Genomic DNA, 23,089 nt, shown 5'->3' on the forward strand with positions numbered 1-23,089 from the left:
CTGCTGTAATGTCTTAACTGGATATCAAAGAATGTTTAATGGTTCAGAAAAAGGAAATGCTGAAAGCCTCTTGGAGGTCACCTGGCTGCAGGTGCTCAGGATTGAAAAAGGCCACCTGGCTAGCTTCAGAACAGCACTGTCTAAATCATGGCATTGAATTAAAGACTTTAGTGCTTAAGGCTCCAAAAAAAGGGAGAAATACAGCATACCTCTGTTTCTTACACAACTAACATTACAACTTCAATAACCAATTCTTTGTTAATGCATAAACTGAATTACAAAAACAGGTACTGGGAGGTAGTTGCTATTATTCCATTTCACAGATAAGGTAACTCAGGCTAAGAGAGGTGAAGTTAGCTTGTCCAAGGTCACAAAGCCCGTAGGCCCAGAGCTGCAATTCAAAGTTGTCTTTAACAGACTGTGGGGCATGCATTCTTAGCTGCTATGCTACTTGCCTCCAGAATTCAAATTAAACCCAACTTTAAAAAAATAGACAATGTAACATTTGTGTTTTTCGTTCCTATCACAACCGTTTCCCATGAACAAATTATCATTAACTGGTAAGTACTGCAAAGGAAACAAAGACCCTTAAAACCCCTTCCTTCCAGAAGAGGGTAATAGGGGCAGGTATAACATGGGAACAGTCTGAGATGCCCTCCTCTGGTCTTACCTGCTCTGTGACTAATCTAAGCTATAAACCTTTTTTCTCTCCAGCGTCTAATAAATTCAGTGCTGGGAATAAAAGTCCCCCCCCCCCCCCGATGAAAACTGAAGTCCTTTATGTCCATCTTTGTGTCTAAATAAATGAGTGTGAGCAGGCTGCTTATGCTTGTTCAGTCTAAGATACCAGACATAGCTATTTTTCAAAGTCTTAACTCCCCAGTCTCATAACATTTTAAATAAACAGTACAATACAGTGATGCAGCAGGAATCATCTAACTGAAGCAAAGTTACCACAAGCTGTGGCAGAACCCTCTAACTCTTAAATCTTCTGTTGTTCATCCACCTCCAATATCCCTGAGATATTTAAAGATGAAACCAGTTGTAAGCTCTGGTTTTTTCCTTAATACTCTGGCGTTAACCTGGACACATCTGTAAAATCAATCTCCTGGCGGCTCTTGCCATTCCTGCAGGTCGGCTAGAAAGAAGAAGGCTGCAAAATGACTAAGCCAGGACACGCAAAGAGCACGGCAGGCTCCTTTCAGAACAAGCCATCACCAACGTGTTCTTCAATCAGCACAATTACTCTGCATGTTGAGTAAGTACGGTTGTTGTACTAATCTCTTAAAAGCCACTATTTTGGCAAAAAATAAAACCATTAAAAAACTGGGAAGCAGCAAGCAACTAGAACTAATTTTTGCTAAGAAAACAATGCATTAAAAACCCTTGCATCTGTAATAGGACTATTCTTCTGATAAAACTTATTCATCAGAAATAATAACATATTTATTTCAAATTCCTGCCTTCTATTCAAAATGGAACCATAGTCAGTTTCCCACACTTATTTCTCTTGTACCAAGGACCCAGACCATCAAGAACTGTGCAAGTAGGAACAAGATGATCAGATGTCCAGTGGATTATCTTCCTAAAGGCTATGGTTGTCTTAAACAACGTACTCCAAATCATCCTTACCCGACTATGCTGGAAGTGAGAGCCCACACCAATTCCAGAAGGAGAGCCTGGGGAGGGTACTGGGGAAGAGTTGGGAGAGGAATGGAGGTTCCCAGTCATTAATATGCCAATATCATTGTCCATATCATCTGGGAATGGAAGGTCAACAAACATATCATCTAGAGGGAAGGGGGGAAAAAAAGCACAAAAATTAAAAAGATAGTCCACATATCAATATCATAATAATCCAACCTAACCTATGTCATGTTTTGTTGGCATATGGCTATTATGGACACACACTGTTAATAACTTAGATTCAGTTAGGACCTACTGAGTGCAAGCTATTACAAATTATTCTTTCATTTTGTACTCTCTCCAATGATCTCCTTATGTACAGTATTAACAGAATGCAATAAAGAATATAACATAAAAACCTACACTCTGCATAGCCTCCAAAGACACATAAAAGTATGGTAAAAGAGCTAAAGCAACAATTTAATCATTAAAATTGACACCATTCAAAAACACAGTAGACTCCATCTATGTATCCACTTAGCATCTAAAACACCAGAGGCTGAATGAATGCATGTTAATGAGTGTGAACTTGCCCTGAAAATGGAGACCTATTCCAAAAGCAAATCAAAGCACAATGTTTTCTCTCTTTTTTTTTTTTTGAGATGGAGTCTCCCTCTGTTGCCCAGGCTGGAGTGCAGTGGCACGATCTCGGCTCACTGCAACCTCTGCCTCCTGGGTTCAAGTGATTTCTGGCTAATTTTTGTATTTTTCATAGAGATGGGGTTTCACCACGTTGGCCAGGCTAGTCTCAAATTCCTGACCTCAAGGGATCCGCCTGCCTCAGCCTCCCAAAGTGCTAGGATTACAGGCATAAGCCACCGTGCCTGGCCCAGCATTTTCATTAAGAAATCCTCCCCAACATTATAAAAGTAAGGTACACTCACAGCAGAAAATTTGTAAAGAAAAGTATAAAAAGTGAAAACCATCACCTAGAACCCAATCACCATGATCATTTTTTTCTATGATTCTTTTATTTTCTCATATATTTGTTATTCTATTGTAATCATACCAGATATAAAATTTGGTATCCTTTTCCTCATCCCATTTACCATAAATAAACACTGGTAGGTGTTATAATTTCTTCAAAAACAATGCAAATGGATGCTGTGTTGAGTGTTTTATAGTTTATAAATAATCATTTTTTTAAACAAATACCTTAACAGCTATTCAAAAATTTCCATTAAGAATAATCAAATAAGGGTTTCTCTATAGCAAATTAGATTGCCATAGACTAGCTAAAGGAAGGTGCTCTCTTCATATTGCTTAGTACTTCACACATTTCAAATCACATCAGCAAATATTTATTGAAAGAGTGGCACCTAAGTACAGAACAGTGCCACGCAGGTATTATTTTTTGCCTTTAATGAAAAATGGAAGAAAGTTAATTGCCCAAACAAGGAAAATATTTATTTGGTCTTGTTAATTGTGCAGATAAATCAAAGCTTTAAGACCAAATAGATTCTCAAACCTTCTATCCCCTCTTTATAGTTCCTGGGTTGTTTATTACAACACAGAAAAGCCATGCGGCAGCCCAGTGATTCCATACTCCGGCTCTGCCCTGCATGAAGGTGAGCACTATCCATACAGGTCTTCTACTCACCATTGTTGGGGCTAAACCCATCTTCATTGGGGTAGTTGGCTGGAGCCACCTGGATGGTTGATGATGTTGGGAACACCAAGATGTGTGTACAAGAAGCATCTTGAGGGGTGTTGAGCTGAGATGACTGCATGTTCAGTGCAGTACTTCGGCCAAAAACAGAGCCCATTGTGACAGCATCTTTAAAGAAAAAAATAGAATTATATCAATCAATGAACAACCCCAGAAATGAGGTTTTCAGAGGGCCTGATCTGGAGTGGTATGAGTCTGATGAAAATGCCATGATAAATACACATTCAAAATTGAGTCCAATTGTTTAAATATCTTCAAAGAAACTGACTCAGAGCACATAGCTGTCTATAATAACCCAAGTTTCATTTCATACTGAAAAGGTTAAGATAAAATTGGACCAAGTCCACTAAATGTTTTAATTACTTACGTAAGAAGTATTTCTAAAAATAAACACCCTACTTTCTTTCCTCCTCTGGTTGTTCACAATTTATAAAGTACTGTTCTAAACGGTTAACAATCCTATAGAGATAGGACCATAAAATCAATACATGTTATAACACTTAATGAATGCTTACTACATGCCAGCATTTGTGCTAAACTCTTCATTCAAGTCATCGCATTTGATCATCACAGCATCTGAAGGTAGGAACTATGATCCCCATTTATAGATGAGGACAAAAGCACAAAGAAGTTACGTAACTGCCCAAGTGGTAGCGGCAACAGAGGTAACCTATAGTCTAATGAGGACATCTGTCTCTCACTGGATTGATGACAAGTAACCCCATTCTCACACCACAATACTGTTGACTTTTATAAGGAATAAGTGGGGAAGGTCCCCCATTTGATTCAAGAAATATCTGGATGGTAAAGATAGGTTATAAAAATATAAAATCGCTCAGTTACTGGTTTTCAAAAACCAGCCAGATTCTTAAGAAATTCTGTGGCCACGTTTTGGCCATCCACAAATGACACCTACATCTATTGAGAGCTTACTGTGTACCAGGTACTGTGCTAACTGCTTTATCCTTGTTTGCCTTCCCATTCATCTTCAACCGTATCAGAGAGACTATAGAAATATCCCTTCGAGGCTGCTGAGAGATTCTGCCAAATGCATGTCTTCAAAAGGATATTCAAATATGCATCATTCTGGTGTCTACTTTCATAGTTCTTTGGAGGGTGATCTTCATATACTAACAACAAACTGGGGTCAGGTAACAGTCATTAGCCATGACTCTATGAGATCTCAATGATATTCAGAACTTAGTCTCTCCCCCGAGCTATGGTCAACAAACATGATAAAATCACAAACCACTCCGCATGGAAGGTATCGAATGTTTTCCATCTTTAAGCCCCAAATACAATCTTCCCTTATAGAAATATAATGAAGACAATTCTACCCTTGTCTGCGGACTTAAGTTTGAGTGGACTGAATTGATGTGATATGTAATTAATGACAATGACAAGAAGAAATTTACCTGGCATCACTACAAAGGACCCCTGGGGCTCCATGGCAACCAGGCAGGCACTAAGGATAGAAGGAGAGTCTGCGGCAGAGATTCCACACATCCGGCACACATCCTTGAGCTTTTTGCTGATTGTCTGTAGTGAACATTCTCCAAGGAGGATACTCCAATCTGAAATCAAATATCGCAGTCATACACAGTCTTTAGAAATTCATACTGATGGGAGATTTGAGCTTTTTAGCAGTTCTGCCCGGTAATTGAATTTCCAAGGTTGGGCCCTAAAGGGAATTATGGCTTTACATATGTTCCCCTCCTTGCTATAGAGAATGTTACTCGACTTCTATTACACTTCATTAACAAAGGAACAAAGGCCTACTATTCTGTGGCTGAAGTCATGTCTGAAATGACCTTTGAGAGTCCAGCACTAATCCAGTCTAATCTACCTAGACCAGATTTAGGCACTTAGAGTGCTTTTCCATGATGACAGCAGTGTTAGCTGCCCTATCCTTTCTCCTCCTTCTCAAGGTCCGATTCTTTCAGTACTCTGCTCTGGAGGAAAGCACTGGCAGGTGGAGGTAAACCTGAGTTTTGTTTATTGTTGTAGGTTAGTTATTTCCATGAAAGTCAAACAGCAGCAGAAATGAAGAGAAATAGTTCTTAGAACACCCAAAAGAGCTCACAACGAGTGTGAGTGAAGTGCTCCAAATGATGCCATACTAATAGTGGAGATTGAAATGTTGGCATAAATTTCCTTTCTAATGTTTATTGCCTCCAAACAAAAGCATTATACCTAACTGGAGCACTGTGGAGGATTATGTTACTCTGAGAAGTGGAAAGCACTTGGTCCCCTCTTCTGACCTCCCTTACACACACGAAGTATGCGCCATTCCTATGCATCACCCCTGCTTTCGGATCCCATCTTGCTCATAAAATGCCACACCAGTGCAGGCTGCTCTACCTCCACACTTTTTTTCCCCCAAATAAGCTGCCATTTCTCCCCTTAAAGAGCAAGTGAATGGAAAACTGTTTCCATATTCCCAATGAACCCCAAACTGAAGTGGCTGAAATAAAAGTGGCCAGGAACATGAAGAATGTTTGTTTTAAAACTATGGGAAATCACAGATGTGAGCTTCATATTTCAAACCAAGTACGAAAGAAAAGGCAGTGTGTATTTCATCATAAAGACTCTGGAGATAAGAAACAGAAATTCACAAAGCTGACTCTGAAACCTAAGGCTCCTGTCATACACTGTCCCATGGAGATGCAATGTGGCACAGATCTTGGCTCCTCAAAGGAAGGAGCTGTAGATTAGTAAACAGATTTCCTGTACACTAGGTTCTTCCTGTGTTTTTATTCCTGAACATACATTTTCTTTCAATCTTTTGATGGGCTCCTCCAGTCACACATTCCTCTCCACTAAGAGATAAGGAAGAAGAATGTGCCCTTACAAAAATCATACAAAGGAAGGAGATGGCCTTAATAATTTTCCAAAATACCAAGTGACTAGACTATTACTCTATATTTTTATCCTCCCTCTTCTTTCCTATTATAGTCTAACTTTCCCCAAGGGTTAAGAATAGCTCAAAGCCTTTAAGAAATAAGATTGACTAAAAAAGCAGACTGGGGAGGAAGATAGAAAATTCTGACAGAAATAAAATGATGAATCCCCTAATGTATTAGACCTCCAGGCTCTTGATACAAGATTCATTATGATATTCCTTTAAAAAATGAAAAGGGTCTATTAGTCTACAGTACAACTTATTACTTAAAAAATTTGTAAATGCCAAAGAAAACATTTACTTAATACATATGATGTAATATTTATATAAACTGCTGTTAAACCCTGAAAATTTGATACCAGATTTAACCTGCATTGTAGGAAGCGAGGTACACTTAGGCATTCCTACAGTGCAAGTTATATCTGTACCAGTGATTTTTGTTTAGGGATTCTACAAATACCTGATGTGAATTTCCTATAAAAAAAAAAAGTACATGGTCTAATGCAGGGACCAGCAAACTATGATCCACAGGCCAAATCCTGCCTCCCATTTGTTTTTGTAAATAAAGTTTTATTAAAACACAGCCATCCACACTTGTCTAGAGCCGCTTTGACGTTACAACGGCAGAACTGAATAGTCACAACAGCAACCATCTGGCCTGCAAAGCTGAAAATATTTACTATCTGGCCATTTACAAAGAAACTTTGCTGACTCTGCTCTAATGTATTTGCACCCAGGAAGCCACCAAGCTAATCTGTGACATTAAGTCTTTCTTTTGTGCAGATCTTAGGGAAAAAACTTCTCCCATCTGAATGCATATATTGAACTTCTTACAAATCTGTCATTACTTAATAAGGCTTTAAAAATAATCTAGGCTAATTCATACTACTCACATAAAACTGTACAAGTAGCTACATTGGGATAGTAAATGAGCTGGGCTCAGCACCAGGCAAGGCAGCTGCTGGTGGTCAGTTGTGTTGTGTTACAGTTAAAGTGCTTCCTGACTGTTAAATTTATGACAAAGAATATAAGCAGTGGTAGTTGGGGACTGAACTTCAAAAATCTGCTCTTGTAAGCTTCCAGGCTCAAGAACATCAGACAGTGGCAATGTGAATAAAGACTGCCTCTACTGGCAACTACTTGTCCTCATGAAACAGGATTTCTTTGCTGTTGTGCCACCAAAAAAACTAAAGAAACACAAAACTCATCATCAACCACCAAACAAATTGAAGGCTGTTTTTATATGACTTCAACTGTCACCTATAATCACTGATATAAAATTTTTGTCTTAAAACTGACTAGTTCTTCTCCCTGATTCAATATATAAATAAATGTTCGAAATGTGAATTTACTATCATTTTTATATTAATAAAACCCTCTTTTTGTTTTATATATTGGGGCTCAAAATTTAAGATTTTATTTGGATATTTATTTTGTTGCCAAAGAAGAGTTTAAAACTGGTTTATCCTGTACATATAAAAGAATCATAAAATAGAATCTGTTTAATTCTTACAAATTTAAACATTTTCTCCCTTAGCTCAGTTAATGACAATAGCTGAGCCCTTTTCCTCTGTCTTCTGCAAATACTTCTTCAAAAATTTCTCACCTTTAAGCTCCCCATGGCCAAGACGCCCAAGTCGCCCGATTACAACTCTCCAGGGTAGAGATGTCATTTGGACAATCCCTATGCACCACTCCCATAACTTCTGTAGTCCAATTTTACGTGCAGATACTTTACTCCTCCGTGACCTAACAAATAAAGAAATGGGGAAGGGGAAGGGGTCCCTAGATAAATCAGAGTTATTTATCACTTATAAGACAAACACTAGAAATTCCAAAGAACCTATCCATGCTGTACCCACTTCATTTACATAGAAAACTGGAAATATTCATATTTGAGGAACGGTACAGCATTAATTTACATGCACCATAAACATCAAGTCTTCTCACCTGTTTGGTAAAGCAATATTTACAACGCAGGTCTCTAATAATTCCCCATGGAGGTCAGTGCAGGAAGCCAAAAGCCAGCGCTGGTCGTGAGACAGACAATAGCCCACGAAGAGCACATTGTATTTCTGGCTCGCCTCACCAAACGTCTCTCCCAGCTCTGTCTGCTTGTCTTTGATTGGGGCCAATATAAAGGGAGGGGAGTAAAGCTGGATTGGGCTGGGCCGCTGAAATCAAAACCAAAATCAATATCAGTACAAAGCCATACAACTTAATGATTACAACAAAATCCAGAACGACACTGAGGGGACCCACAGGGAGTAATGGTAGTAAATCGTTTCTCTCTCTCTCTCTCCAGTACTAGAGACACATAAATAGTACTGAGGACACATAACAAAATGATTGTTTAAATCATGTAAGCTGGGAAACTCAATCAAGCCAGTATTTCCTTATTAAAAGAAATTACTATTTTAGAAACTGCATTGGCCCAACTTCATTAGTTGTTAGGCAAGTGGGAAATTGAAACTACAATGAGATAATGCTACACAACCACCAGTATGTCGAAAATAAAAAAAGAGAAAATATTGGTAAGAATATGGAGCAACAAGAATTTTTATACATTGCTGCTTAAGCTGAACAAACATATACTCCCTTTGAACCAACAAAATGCACATATATGTTTACCAAAAAACAGGTATAAGAATATTCACGATAGTATTAATCACAATAGCTCCAAACAGAAAGTTATCTAAATACTCATCAACAGTGAAAGAGATAATAAATTGTGATATAGTTAACAGAATCAGAATATTAAACAGCAATGAGAATGAAAAAACTATAAGCAACAAAACAGATGAATCTCAACAATGAATAAAAGAAGCCGAATGTGAAAGAATACAAAGTAGATGATTCAATTTATATCAAGGTCAAAGACAGGCAAAACTACACTGTCAGAAGTCAGAATAGTGACTATCTTTAAGGGATTGGAAAGGCCACAAGAGGGGCTCTGGATACCAGTTATGTATTTGCTTCTTGCACTTGTTAAATGATATTTTTTTAATTACTGAAAATTCATTCAGCAGTACACTTATGATTGAGTACTTTTGAGTACATATATAGTTTAATATGTGTGTCTGTGTATATAATTTTAAAAATCAAATCAACAGTTGTTACCAAATATAAATATTTTAGATCAACTGTGAAAATGTTTTAATTGTCATATTTTTTACAGCCATCATAATACACATCTTACTATTTAATAAACTACAACAGGGGTCAGCTAACTTCTACAAAAAAGAAAACCAGAGAATTAAGTTTAGATTTTTATGGCTGTCACACATTCTCCTTTTTGTAAAAATGTACTCACTGGCTAAGTGTGTTGGCTCATGCCTGTAATCCCAACACTTTGGGAGGCTGAAGTGGGAGGATCACTGGAGCCCAGGAGTTCAAGACCAGCCTGGCCAACACAGTGAGACTCCCTCTCTACAAAAAATAAAATAAAATTAGCCAGGCATGATGGTGCATGCCTGTAGTCCCAGCTACTTGGGAGGCTGACTGCCTGAGCCTGGAAGGTCGAGGCTGCAGTGACCCAGGTTCATGCCACTGCACTTCAGCCTGGGCGACAGAGTAAGACCCTGTCTCAAAAACACAAAAGTAATAATCATTCTTACCTAGCTGGTCATTCAAGTACAGGCTGCAGGCCAGATACAGCCCAAATCCATAGTTGCTGACCCCTGAACTACACAGCATTAGGCATGGCAGTAACAGAATGACACAATTTTAAAGCTAAAAGAGACTTTGAAAATAATATAACCCAACTCATTCATTCATCATAGGGATTCAAAACTCAGGCTGAGAAATATTCAATGACTTGCTCAAAGTTGCAAAGCTAATCTAACACTCATCAATTCACTCTCCACATGACCAGAAACTGCACTCTTAGGTATTTATCAAGAGAAAGAAATATTATGTCCACACAAAAACCTTGTACATATTCATAGCAGCATTATTCACAAGTGCCAAAAAGTGGAAACAACCTAAATGTCCATCAACTAATGAATGGATAGACAAAATGTGGTACAGCCATACGATGAAGTATTATTTAGCCAGGAAAAGAAATGAAGTACTGGTACATGTTATGACATGGATGAACCTCAAAATCATTATGCTAACTGGAAGAAGCCAGACATAAAAGATCGCATATGGCCAGGCGAGGTGGTTCACGCCTGTAATCCCAGCACTTTGGGAGGCTGAGTCAGGCAGAATGCTTGAGCCAAGGAGCTCAAGACCAGCCTGGGCAACATAGCAAAACCCCTATCAAAAAATTACAAAAATTTAGCGAGGCACGGTGGCACATGCCTGTAGTCCCAGCTAATCCAGTGGCTCAGGCAGGAGGATCACTTAAGCCCAGGGAGGTCGAAGCTGCAAGTAACCGTGATCTTGCCACTGCACACCACCCTGGGTGACAGAGCGAGACCTTGCCTCAAAAATAAAAATAAAAAAATTGGGGGGAAGACTGCTTGAGGCCAGGAGTTCAAGACCAGCGTGAGCAATATAATTAGACCCTGTCTAAAAAAGAAAAAAAAATCATATATTGTGTGATTCCATCTATAAGAAATGTCCAGAACAGGCAGCTCCATAGAGACAGCAAGTAGACCAGTGGTTGCCAAGGACTGGAGTGGGGAATGAGTAGTGTGTGCTAATGAATATTGTGTTTCTTTGAGGGTTGATGAAAATGTTCTAAAATTAGATAGTAGTGAAGACTGTACAACTGTGTGGAAATACTAAAAACCACTGAACTGTACAATTTTTTTTCTTTTTTTTTTTTTTTTTGGAGACAGAGTCTCACTCTGTCGCCGAGACTGGAGTGCAGTGGCGTGATCTTGGCTCACTGCAACCTCCACCTCATGGATTCAAGCAATTCTCCCGCCTCAGCTTCCCAAGTAGCTGGGATTATAGGCATCCGCCACCACGCCTGGCTAATTTTTTTATTTTTAGTGGAGACGGGATTTTGCCATGCTGGCCAAGCTGGTCTCGAACTCCTGACCTCAGGTGACCCGCCAGCCTCAGCCTCCCAAAGTGTTGGGATTATAGGCATGAGCCACCGCGCCCGGCCTGAACTGTAAAATTTTTAAAAAGAATTTCGTGATATGTGAATTGTATCTCAATAAAGCTGTTATTAAAGCAAGAAAAGTCCAGCTGAGTTTGCCTGGAGTTTTTTATAAAACGAATGGCTAAATGTGAAATATCTTAGATATAATAGATAGCATCTGAAAACACTAAATAAAATATGATTCCCAAACTGTGTTCTGAGATGCGAGATATTCCATGAAAAACAAAAGATAACAGCAATTGGATTTATTTGAAAACTTGCATAATAAAAACTATAAATTCTTTCACATGTGATAACTTGCATAAAACTGTGCCACCCAGAGAATGAGAATTGCATGGAGGCAGGGGCCTGTTTTGTTCACCCCTGCATCCTTAGCACCTAATACAGCACCTGGCACACCGTAGATGCTCAACTGTATTTACCAAATGAAAACACAATGTTCTCGCTGCAGACTGAGGCAGAGGCAGCATTGACCAACTAACCATTACCTTAATGCAGATTAAAATGTATAAACTTCAGCAAATATTTATAACATTTGGTTCTTTTGTTTTTAATAAAGTAAAATCATTTACTTCTCTCTTCCTGTTCCAAGCAAAATGGAGAAAAACGATATTACTCGAAGTCTTTTTGCCATTTATTTTAATCTAAACCTCACTTTATCTTATGAGCTCCTGATGGTGTTCTGCCTGAGCATAATAACCTTTAGAAAGGCAATAATTCATAATTTCTGGAAACAAAATAAAAAACAAGTAGAGACATTTATTTTTGAAATTCTAGAAAAATTTAACAGAGAAAACAGATGAATTGCTCATAGAAGTGAAAAATTCAAACTCAAAGAATAAACTAAACTAAAACTGCCTAAAATAGAAATTTTATATAACACTGGAGTGAATGTAGGTCATTGGCTGAGCAGCTTTTCTCCCTTGGGACTAAGCTGACCTGCACCAAGTTACAACAAACACAGTGTTAACTACTTGCATCATTTTTCACTCCCAAGCATTTTACTTATAAAAGTGCAAGCATTTCATAGAGTTGTTCAGAACAACATTACCAACTAAAAATAGCAATTGGTGTTTTAAGGAGCTCTCTTATGGTAAAGAGGTGTATGCTGGCTTTTACTAATGGGATACTTTTCATGCAATAAAATTGTGGGAACTGATTTTTGAAGGCTTTGAAAATTCTGAACATTGCTTTTTATACCTATCTTCAAGATAAGGTGATTAGAAAAACAAAGGAAGTGTAAAACTTTTGTTTAAAACATGTTTAGCTTTGGTGTTGTAAAATTCCCTTTGAGATCCACACATATCTGTAGGAAGTAGGTTTTAAAAGATGGAGTGAAAATGCATTCATTTATATACGGAAGCACTGAGGCAAGGAAAGGAGAAATCAACTTCCTCTAAGTATGTGCATCACAAAACGAGGGACCCCTGCAGAGTAAACACAACTACAACTGTTGTCCCAGGATACAGACCAGAGCTGGAAAACGCAAAGGATTTCTGATCTAAGACACAGATTAGCTTAGAAAAATAAAGAAAATAAATTTAGGAAATTAAAACATTAAAAACTAAAAGGGATACATTTATTATTGCCTAAAGTCCTACATAAAAAAAACAGTAAGAATTTGCTTGCCTCTCTTCTCAAAAATGTTTTAAAGTTCAGAGAAGTATCTCCTCTATTTAAACCTAAGAGTTAAAGAAACCTGCCAACTCGTTTTTATTCCCCCCTGAGACAGGGTCTTGCTCTCCAGGCGGAAGTGGTTATGTGATCACAGCTCACTGCCATCTCAAACTCCTGGGCTCAAGTGATCCTTCCACCTCAGCCTCCCAAACAGCCAGGACTACCGGCACACATCACACCTGGATAATTTTTAAAAGAAAATTTGTAGAGATGGGGTCTTGCTATGTTGCCCAGTGTGGTCTCAAACTCCTAGGCTTAAGCAATCCTTCCACCTCAGCCTCCGAAAGTGCTAAGACTACAGGTGTGAGCCAACACATCCAGCCTAGCAACTCTTATATCAATGTAGAAGACCAACTAAGCAACCAGCCAATCTCTGGGTTAGATAAAATACCTCTTCTAGCTTGCATTTTAGTATAAATTTTCTAAGTTTCTGTCCTGCCAATACCTACCTCAGGGTTCTTGAGGGTCATCTCAATGCTGGCTGCAGGCCCAAATCCCGTGAGGGATTTAATGTGGATCTGTGTAGGCAGTGGTCGCCTGCACTGGCAGTACACTGAAAATGCCATGGACTTCAAGTATTGAATGTAGAAAACTTGCTCATCCTTCATTGTCTGCAGCATGTACTGGCAAGGCACAATCTAAAGACACAAATACAAAAAAAAAACAAAAACCAAAAACCTAGAAACTGAGATCTAACACACTAACAAGCAAGCTGAAAAAGGAAACGGCATGAATTCCTTACCACAATGGGGAGAGGTAACCTCAGCCTTAAAATATATCTGTGCCACACATAATATAATTAAATCCTAATTCCTTCCGCTGACATAAAATTCTCTATCACCAGCAATTTCAAAAGATGTACGATTATGTTGGTCAAGTTATACTGTCACTTAGAAACTACCATGTTCCCACTTTAGGGGTAAGATCTCAATTTATTACAGGTATTACCATGGCCCCAAAATTTTATTATATTTCTTTTTATAATTACACAGTGTGTATGGCATTTTTTGGAATTATTACCTAATCATTTAGGATACAGACTTCAAAACAATGGAAAACTATCAGCAATGTACTCTGATAACTTTAATTTCAATCTTTTAATTTTACAAGATAGCTTCAGTTAAAGTGACATTAAAACGAAACCCAAACATCCGAAGCATTGTTTTTCATCTATATAGAATTTTTTAAAAAATCATTACACTATAAAGCTGTCAAAGGTGCAGTGAAAATAAGCATACTCATTCACTGATGAAAGGAAATAAGTGTAACCTCTTTTGGAATGGAATTTGGCAATATTTGTCAGCATCTAAGAATCCATGTTAAAAATGACCTGAAATGTGAAAAATAAGATTATACATAAACGTGTCCTATGGCTTTATTTATAACAGTAAAGAAGTGGAGATATAGGAATGACTATGGAAAATATGCAGTCATTAAAAATGTTGCTTGTAAGAATTTAAATAATATGAAAATGTGTTAATGAATAACATTAGGTAGAAAATAAGTTATATTAAAAGTATGATCTCAACTGTGTAAACAAAAATAGAGAAACAAGCTAGAAATACACCAAAATGGTTATGGTGGTTGAATGTAAAAGACGGAATTATGACTATTTTTCTTTTATACTTTCATGTACAGGTTGAATATCCCTAATCAAAAAATCTGAAATCCAAAATGCACCAAAACCCAAAACTTTTGGAATGCCAATAAAACGCCACAAGTGGAAAATTCCGTTATCAGACCTCATGTGATGTATTGCAGTCAAAATTTAATCAAAACTTTGTATAAAGCACAACATGACCAAAAATATTGTATAAAATTACCTTCAGGTTATGTGTGTAAGGTGTATATGAAACATAAATAAATTTTATGTTTAGACTTGGGCCCACTGCAAAGGTCTCCCATTATATATATGCAAATATTCCAAAATCGGAAATCCAAAACACTCTGGTTCCTAGTATTTTGGTTAGGGGATAATTAACCTGTACTTCCATTTTTTAAGAAAAATCATAGGCCTGTATTTATTTTCATAACAACAAAAATAACAACATCAAAAGTAAATAATAAACTTGCAAACAGTAACCTGGAGAATGAAAGAATTTCTCATATGCTCAGGTAAATTATCCAGCATTTCTGTGTAGCAGCGCATCAAGCTCAACAGCCAAAAGTTCCCAGAAGTGGAGTCCTCCTCTGCAGCATACGTGAACGGGTCCACCATGTAAATGACAACAGCTGGAGGGTGGGCATGGCTGTCTGCAGAGTCAGGCTCCGTGGGAATTCCTATTCTCTCCCTTTCTGTAACACTGGAGAGAGAGTCACTTGTGAGATGCACAAAATAAATATAAATTACACGAACATGAAAAACAAAAGGGCTCAATTCTAGAGCACACAGGCTCCCTAAAGAATGTTTACAGATTAAAGGTAAGAGTAACATTTATCACCTTACCAAAATACAGGCAAACCAAGCCAGAGAGCATCGAGGGCAGATGGAAAATGGCAATGTACTCCTCTAAAATGGGAGGTATCTTTTTCAACTCCCCTTTCTTTTCTGTGGTTATGTTGTACAAAGTTGTTACTAATTAAGTTGATAGTAAGTAAGTTTAATAATAAAGTTTATAATTCATAATAATTTATAAGAAGTCTCAAATTTTTAACACTGCAGCTTTAGATCGACCATTGCCCCTTTCTTTTGAGAAGAGAAATAGAGCACTTCATAGGATTCACAGAATCATGAGGTCAAGGGAGAAAAGGTGCAGAAGAAGAAGAGAGAAAGGGTCTGAGCTGAAGCCACTCATCTCAATTAGTGAATAACATACCTCTCTTGTCCATCCTGTGAGGGCTGAGAAGAGCTCTGCCCAGGGTCAGTGTCTCCACCACAGCCTATGTTCCCTTGCGTTCTATCCGCAGAAATGCCCCCAGTGCTGGGGTTCTGCCCTCCAACACTACCACTGAATCCTGAAGAAGAGGTAGTGCTTATCTGGCTAATACCAGGAGCAGAGGCAGACGATGAGACCGGTGGCACAGAGGAACCAGATGCAGAACTACTTGCTGCAGGATTTGTAGAACTACTATTCGAGGTGGGATTAAATGCACTGCCAGCTGGGGGAGCTGCTGATCCATTTGGAGCTAAGGGCCCAGCATTCCCTGGCGTAGCTTGTCCCTGTGCTGCTGCTGGTGGGGTCTGGTATTTAGGTGGTATCAATAGGCTGCTATCAAGCTGCAGAGTGGCTAAATAAGGTGCTGAAAGAATACATGCAAAGAGGTGACTTTAGTGATATTCTGCAGTGTCGGACTGAACCAGAATCTAGAATGGTCACTTGTAAAAACATTATGCTTTCAGGCTGCAATACTCTGATTACAATACCCAAAATACTATCTCCACAGTCATGCTTATGTATTCTGCAAACATGGAGATGCACATGGAGCAACTTATAAATTCTACAGTAGAGGCTTGTTTGAAAAGAGAAAATCAATCACTTGTGATAGTCTCCTTTCAGACTGATTCCATGTGCCTGCCCTAAAAAATGAGAAGCTATATATTCCACAGTCATCATGGGACATTATGCTCCTAGGTTTACAAGCTTCTAAGATTCTCTTCAGAATATGGGTTAAAACTAAGCAGCTAATACCAAGTCATGCTGCTAAGTTTTCAAAATGTGCAGTAATTAGACATGATTAGGCAACTTTGAATAGTTTTTAAAAAATATATGTCCATATAGAAATTAGCATTAAACTGCCCAGAACACCAAACTGGACCTTAACAAATACAGCATTACTTGAGACAAAAGAAATATAATGTTGCATCTATAAAAGAAGGGATGGGACGGATTTGCTATTTTACTTCTCCAATTCTACTTTGCCAAATAAATTCCCATTTACCTAGGTGATGGCGGCAAACTTGCGCATAAAGTTTGAGTCTGGAATGATTGTCATTCTCCTCGCCGCTCCAAGGCTGGTTAAACCACTCACTCACAAGCTCATCTGTCAGCTTCTGTGCCACAGTTTTTCCCACGCGCATGATCCCGTCACGTAGCACTTTGCAGATGGGCTTGTGCTGCCCAAGCCTACACATCTGATATCATAGACAAGATCATTAGTTATAACAGGAGCCATTCCTTCATTCAGTACCAATGGTTAGCAAGGGAGATTCTTTAACATACATATGGAAGCATTTTCCTTTTTCTTTTAGGGTTATCACATGCAATCAAACCAACATTACAAGTTGGTCCTTTCAGGTAATTGTAATGTACCCTTAAATTGCTATCTGTCTCTCTAAAACTTGGACTAGGCTCTCTAAAAAAAAAAATGTTTCTTCACTCAAGCCAATTCCTCCTGTACAAGAGGAGGCTGCTGAACACTACCTGATTGCTAACGGACAAAGAATTAGCAGATTCCTGCCTACTGTTGCTAACTGAGACATATGCCCACTAAAATCTCCTAAGTAATCCCTACTCATAATATTTTCCCATAAGATAACATTAAAATTTTATGGGCCATCTGTTCTGTTACAGACATTTGGAGATCACCAATAGCAGGGGCCACTGAAGCAGTGAGTATGCTGATCGCCTTTTTTTTTTTTAAAGTAAATAGGACAAGGAGATTCTGCTATTAATCTCCATGACGCTAAATGGGTGCTTATGGCAGGGAATATAATAAACCTGCAAAAAGTAAACTACCTGTTCACCAGCAGGAGAGCCCGTATTATTATCCCTTACTAGAGTAGATGAAGTGAAGGCTTACTAAGCCCCGACAAAATCCTCTAGTGTATACTCTTCCTAAGGAGGTATCAATTACTGCCGAATAAGCAACCCTAGTGAAGTCATTAAGAAAAATTTAAAAGAGTGTCTGTCTGTACCCTCTTAAAAAGATCTGGCAGTGCTTTTTACATTTTGTAACTTATGTTGAAGGTTCCATTCAAGGAAATGGCTGGGCTTTAAAACTGCTTACACAAATTTTCTGTTAATTATGATTTAATAGTATTATATATGCCCTGACCAGACACTGTTCAGAAATGAATGTATCCAAGGCAGTGACTTAATTGATGTCATTACATCATGTTAGCATCTCCTCATTTCTTTGTAGCAACAACGTAAATTTACTATTCCGTGCCTACTCATACATTTATAGATCATGAATGTCCTGTTTTGGAATATTTTGCAATTCAGCTTGGAATCTTATTTAAAAACCACTTTCATAATGTTTACATGCCTATCATAGTACTAAATATTTTACAGATATTAATTTCATTTTGCTGAATACAAAGACATTAGATGTATCAGATACAAAGAACTTAGTGCATATATACTTTGGCATAAGAAATGTGGCACTTATTCTTCAAAGACAGACATGATTCTATTTTTTTTAAAGCAACAGGAATTCATATACTAAAGATGTAAAATTATCTGCCTGGTTTTTACATTATTATAGGAATTATATTTTTAATCAGTATCAAAGTTTCAGTATTAAGATGTCATGTTAAAACACAACAGGGACATTATTCATTAAACTTATGTTTCAATTCAGAAATTTGCAAAAGACACATTTTTACACTGTTGTCAGGAACTCTCACCTACTCACCCTGTCCCTCAATCCATCCAGTAAATAAATACAAAGAGTAGATGTGCTCTTTTGGTAAAGCTCATCTTCTACATAGCCACACTTTCCCCTGGTGAGCAATATTCTTCAACTTTTAGCACATAAATGGAGAAGAGAGAACTGATGGGATTTTAAGACGTGTGGTAAGAATGGGAGGGGAACGTTTTCTAAATCTAACAAATATAAAGCAAAGATGGGAAAGCAATTTGCTTCCAGAAAAATTGGCCAATTCAATTCTCTTCTTCATCCACCTGTTTGCAAATTTTCTCTGAGATTTACTTTCAAGACATTTGTCTTGAAATTTAGTCATCACTATAAACAATCAGAGGATCCAAGTCATAAAAAGCAATTTTCACAGTAACTTCCTCACCTCGTATACAGCACTCAAGTCCCTGAAGAAAGTTTTGGCTCCTTCGAGCAAGGCCTCATTTTCTGGACACACCACAATATAGGCAACATCACGGTGGCCCCCATATGGGTCCAACAAGAGCCTCTCCCAAAACGGCAAGGAGAATGGCGAGATGGTGAGGAAATCCTTGTCATAGCCTACCAGCAGAGTGGGGATGGGCAACGGCTCAGGAGATTCTTCCGAACCTAAAATGACATTGTAGTGTAGAAAGGTGCTAGAGAGTTTTTCCCACAACCTTACAATTTTGAAATTCCTGGTGCACTGGTCTTAATTCTGGCATCTGAAATGTCACTCCATGTTCACAAGACATTCTTAAAAGTATTTTTGAAATCATCTAATTAAATGGTCACTGATGAGGACTCTTAATTAAGTAAGTCAGAATTTGTTTATAAAGGTTCAGTAAGATCAGAGGGCAGACTAGAACAAGTTAAAATTAACTTTCCAAGCAGCACTACATCATTTCCTTCAAGATAAGCATTATGATTCTGACTATGATGAAGTAGACAGAACTGGCCCAGAAGTCCATCCAGATGAAAATGCAGTGAGGATTGGGAAAATGAGGAGAATCTAAAAAATGCACTTTTTAGGGATTAGCTTCCTCACTGACCTGGATTATGCCAAGGGTGGTAGGAAACTTGACTCCAAAAGTAACTTTAGGAAAACAAAGAGATTATAAAACTAAATGGTCAAAGAAAAAGACTCCCCTATTTTGTTAGTGACGCAAGGACTTGACAGTAACTAACGCTGCTCTTCACTGAACAGCACTGAAGTCAGAAGGAATTTTAAACAGGACAAAGACCCTACCGTAGGTTCCCCGTCCTGCCATTTTATGGAACTGCTGCCAAGTGAGTGGTCCCTGCACATGCTGGATGTTCTCCCAGGTCCTGCCCGTGCGCTTCTTTTGGATGGCATCTTGGAGAAAGGGCTGCAGGGACAACAGCATACGAACCACATCCTGGGAGGAGAGCATGCTGATGTCCAGCACTGGAAGAGAAGTGAGAAGAAACAGAGAAGATAAGGGGGCTAGCACCCTCCTCTTCCTCACCATCACCTCGAGCCTCAGTTATATTCAGAACAATGACGTTATTAGCTGTAGTAGATTCTAAAATATTTGACTTAGGAGTCAGGAGGAAAGATATTCTTCTACTAAATTAGAGAAAATAATTGATAATTTAGTATCAACAATAATAAAAGGGGAAATGGATTACTCTATATAAAAAAGTTTAATGGAAGAATTGTTTAAAAGTGGAAAAATGGATAGGTGCGACTTTTTAAAACCATGGAAATCTGTTTCCAAGGATTTTCATAAGACAGCTGCAAAAGTTTCTTAATTATTACTTTTATTTGCAAATATCAATGTTTTGTTTATATGATAAGTAGGAAAAAATGGAACTTAAATAAAAGCTTTTAAAAACTCTTTAAATGCTCCTAATTGTAAAAATATTTTCACAAAATACAGAATGCATGAAGAGAAGGCCAATCTTCAGTGCAGCCAGAGGCACAGGGAAACACAGCTGAAGCCCTCAAGGACCGAAGTCCGCTGCAGGCACGGATGGGATTCACTGCCTTCTAAATGCAGATGACTTTAGTCCCAGCAGTCGCCCTGGGGAGGGATTTCTAACCTAAAATTTGAAAGTTGTCTGAACTCCATGCAAAACTGTGCAAGCACGCTTGGACATACGTATTTTTTTCTCAGGATGGAGGGTTCATCATGCAAATCAGATTCTTAAAAAGGTCTGCAGAAAGAGCTAATGACGCTGGAGGTGATGTGGTGTGAATCTGCACAGCTGGATTCCTGAAGACTCTGCCTCCCTCTTACCCTTCTAGCTGATGAGGGAAGGGGCATGGAAAGAAATCTAAGATTTATCTGCCAACTAAATTTGAAACACAGGATGATTAAGGATTCTTAAGACATTTTCAAACGTGTCCCTAAATCAGTAAAACACAGGTTGCAAAGTGGTGGTCCACAGAATATTTTGTTAAACTTTGGAACAAATCACTCCAGGAAATTTCACACACAAATCTAGATTGCCAGCTTCCCTTGAACTGGGAGACCCATATTCCTGCATAACCACCACTTGCTGGAGCTGAGGAGCAGCTGTCCCTCTCAGGCACCTCATGGCCCCTTCCCTGCTGTCTGTCCTGAGTCTGATGCAGTTTTCATTGCCTTTTATCTTCAGCCAGTGCTTCTTTTTACATATAGTAAACAACAACAGTGAATACTTCTTGTATTAATGGCTCTATCAAAAGCAGGAAATCACAGACCAAGAGAACCACAGATTTGAGGAAACTAAAAGCAAGCACGTTTCTTATGAACCCTATTCCTGTGCCTGCAAAATAGAAAGTGAGTTTTGAAAAGACAGCTTAAGGCACTGCCTTTTGCAAATGTCTCCCATCACATTCATTTACATTATCTGGTACTTTTAGGCATCTTAAAATTTGAAACCCAGACCTCCCCTGCAATAAAATGTCTTATTTTTCATCCTGAAAGACGACACCACTGATTCATGCACACAGACTGCTTTTCTGTCCGAAGGCCTATCTAGTAAAAGGACTCACCCAAGCTGATCATCCACATTTCTTTAGGGGAAAGGCTGCATTTTCTTCACTTCATAAATTCATTCAGTAGAAACTGATTAAGGGTCTGCTTAAGTATAAGGCACTGTGCTTGAACCTAAGCAGTTATACAAATGAGCATAACCCTTTAATGCTTTCTTAGTCATCTCTACCTCCATGAAAGCTTCCTTGATTGGCCTAGTCAGAAAATACCCATCACTCCCCATACTCTACTGACCTCTGGACATACTTTTAATTACTTCAGATTTCAAACTGTATTTAAGAAGCTTATATAACTTTCTTCCCTGCAAGACTGAGAGTTGTTCAGAAGCCGGGTTCGCACATCATTCACACAACCCTTCCAGTCTGGCCTCTGCTCCCACCACTCTACAGAAACAGCTCTCACCACGGTCAGAAGACATGTTTAATCCTTATCTTAAAATCTTCACTTGCATTTTAATGCCTGTCAATCACTTCCTCTTTCTTGAAACACTGGCTACCCCTGGCTTCCAAAAGCCCCCTCTATGGTTCTTCCTTCTCTGCTTGATAGGCTCACGCTTCTCTGCCTCACCTATACCCGTCAGAATGTAGCTAAGCTCTACCAGGTCCTCTTCTCGTCTATACTTTTCTCCTCCTCCTCAATGAGCTCATCTGTGCCCCCTTAATTGAAGTTATCACCTATATGCCAACCACTCCCTCTCCCCTGAGCAAAAGGCCCAAGAGTCTACTTGATACCTCTACCTGGATATATCAAAAGGGATCTTTAAAACTTCCAAACTTCCACAACTCAATTTATAAACTTTCTCTCCAGATATAGTCTTATCTTTGAACACCACTGACTATCCAGGTATACAAGTAACAAATCTGGGACTCCTCAACATCTCTCTTTCCCTTATCCCCAAAACTCAACTCACTATTGAGTCCTGCAATAATATTTCTTCTCCACCTTCTTCACAAGGACACTAAGGCAAGCTATTGTTTCTTACTAGGTCTTCCTCACTAACCTCCTTGTCTCCCCAAATCCATTCCTGCCACTTTCTAATCCATACCCAGAATTATAGCCAGTGCACATTGTTATTTTTCCTTTTTAACTACACAAATCTGACATCAGTGCTTCTTCTTAAAACCTTTCAATGACTTTGTATTGCTTTTTGCAGGAAGACCCAACCCCTAGCATGCCTCTAAAGAGTCACTGTAATCTAGCCCCTGCATGCTTCTAACCTCGCGTCAGTTTCTAAAGGCCCCAAGCTCCATACAACCAAGGGCCTTCCCACTTGCAGCACCTCCTGTCTGGGACACATGCCTCGCTCCCCATTCTCCTTCCTCAGTTAATGTGTACTCATCATTGAGATCTCTGAGCAAATGTTACTACTTCTACAACGAAGTCTTCTCTGACCTTCAGCCTAGAGTGCCCCGTCTATCCCATGCTTTTATCACTTATAAAATGGGTTGTAATAATATGCGTGCTTGTGTAATTATTTAATTGATGTCCACTTCCAGAATAGATTAGAAAGTCCATGAGGGTAAGTGCCTTGT

The 23,089-nt window shown here is 38.6% G+C and overlaps 1 protein-coding gene across 8 annotated transcripts in view; it reads right to left on the reverse strand.

The window, feature by feature from the left end:
• The window catches only part of MED13L (mediator complex subunit 13L), a 319,118-nt gene that overhangs the window by 8,732 nt on the left and 287,297 nt on the right, over positions 1-23,089 (reverse strand). For all 8 annotated transcript variants that reach the window (XM_047428608.1, XM_017019090.2, NM_015335.5 and 5 more), the window contains 11 exons: positions 19,802-19,981; positions 18,959-19,182; positions 16,873-17,065; positions 15,810-16,233; positions 15,077-15,296; positions 13,443-13,631; positions 8,208-8,431; positions 7,864-8,006; positions 4,771-4,929; positions 3,287-3,463; positions 1,633-1,790 (listed from right to left, as the gene is read on the reverse strand). In XM_047428608.1, coding sequence (XP_047284564.1) covers positions 1,633-1,790; positions 3,287-3,463; positions 4,771-4,929; positions 7,864-8,006; positions 8,208-8,431; positions 13,443-13,631; positions 15,077-15,296; positions 15,810-16,233; positions 16,873-17,065; positions 18,959-19,182; positions 19,802-19,981 — 2,291 coding nt within the window. The remainder of the gene's footprint in view (positions 1-1,632; positions 1,791-3,286; positions 3,464-4,770; positions 4,930-7,863; positions 8,007-8,207; positions 8,432-13,442; positions 13,632-15,076; positions 15,297-15,809; positions 16,234-16,872; positions 17,066-18,958; positions 19,183-19,801; positions 19,982-23,089) is intronic.

Source organism: Homo sapiens, chromosome 12, assembly GCF_000001405.40.
Source record: "Homo sapiens chromosome 12, GRCh38.p14 Primary Assembly".
Taxonomy (NCBI): domain Eukaryota; kingdom Metazoa; phylum Chordata; class Mammalia; order Primates; family Hominidae; genus Homo; species Homo sapiens.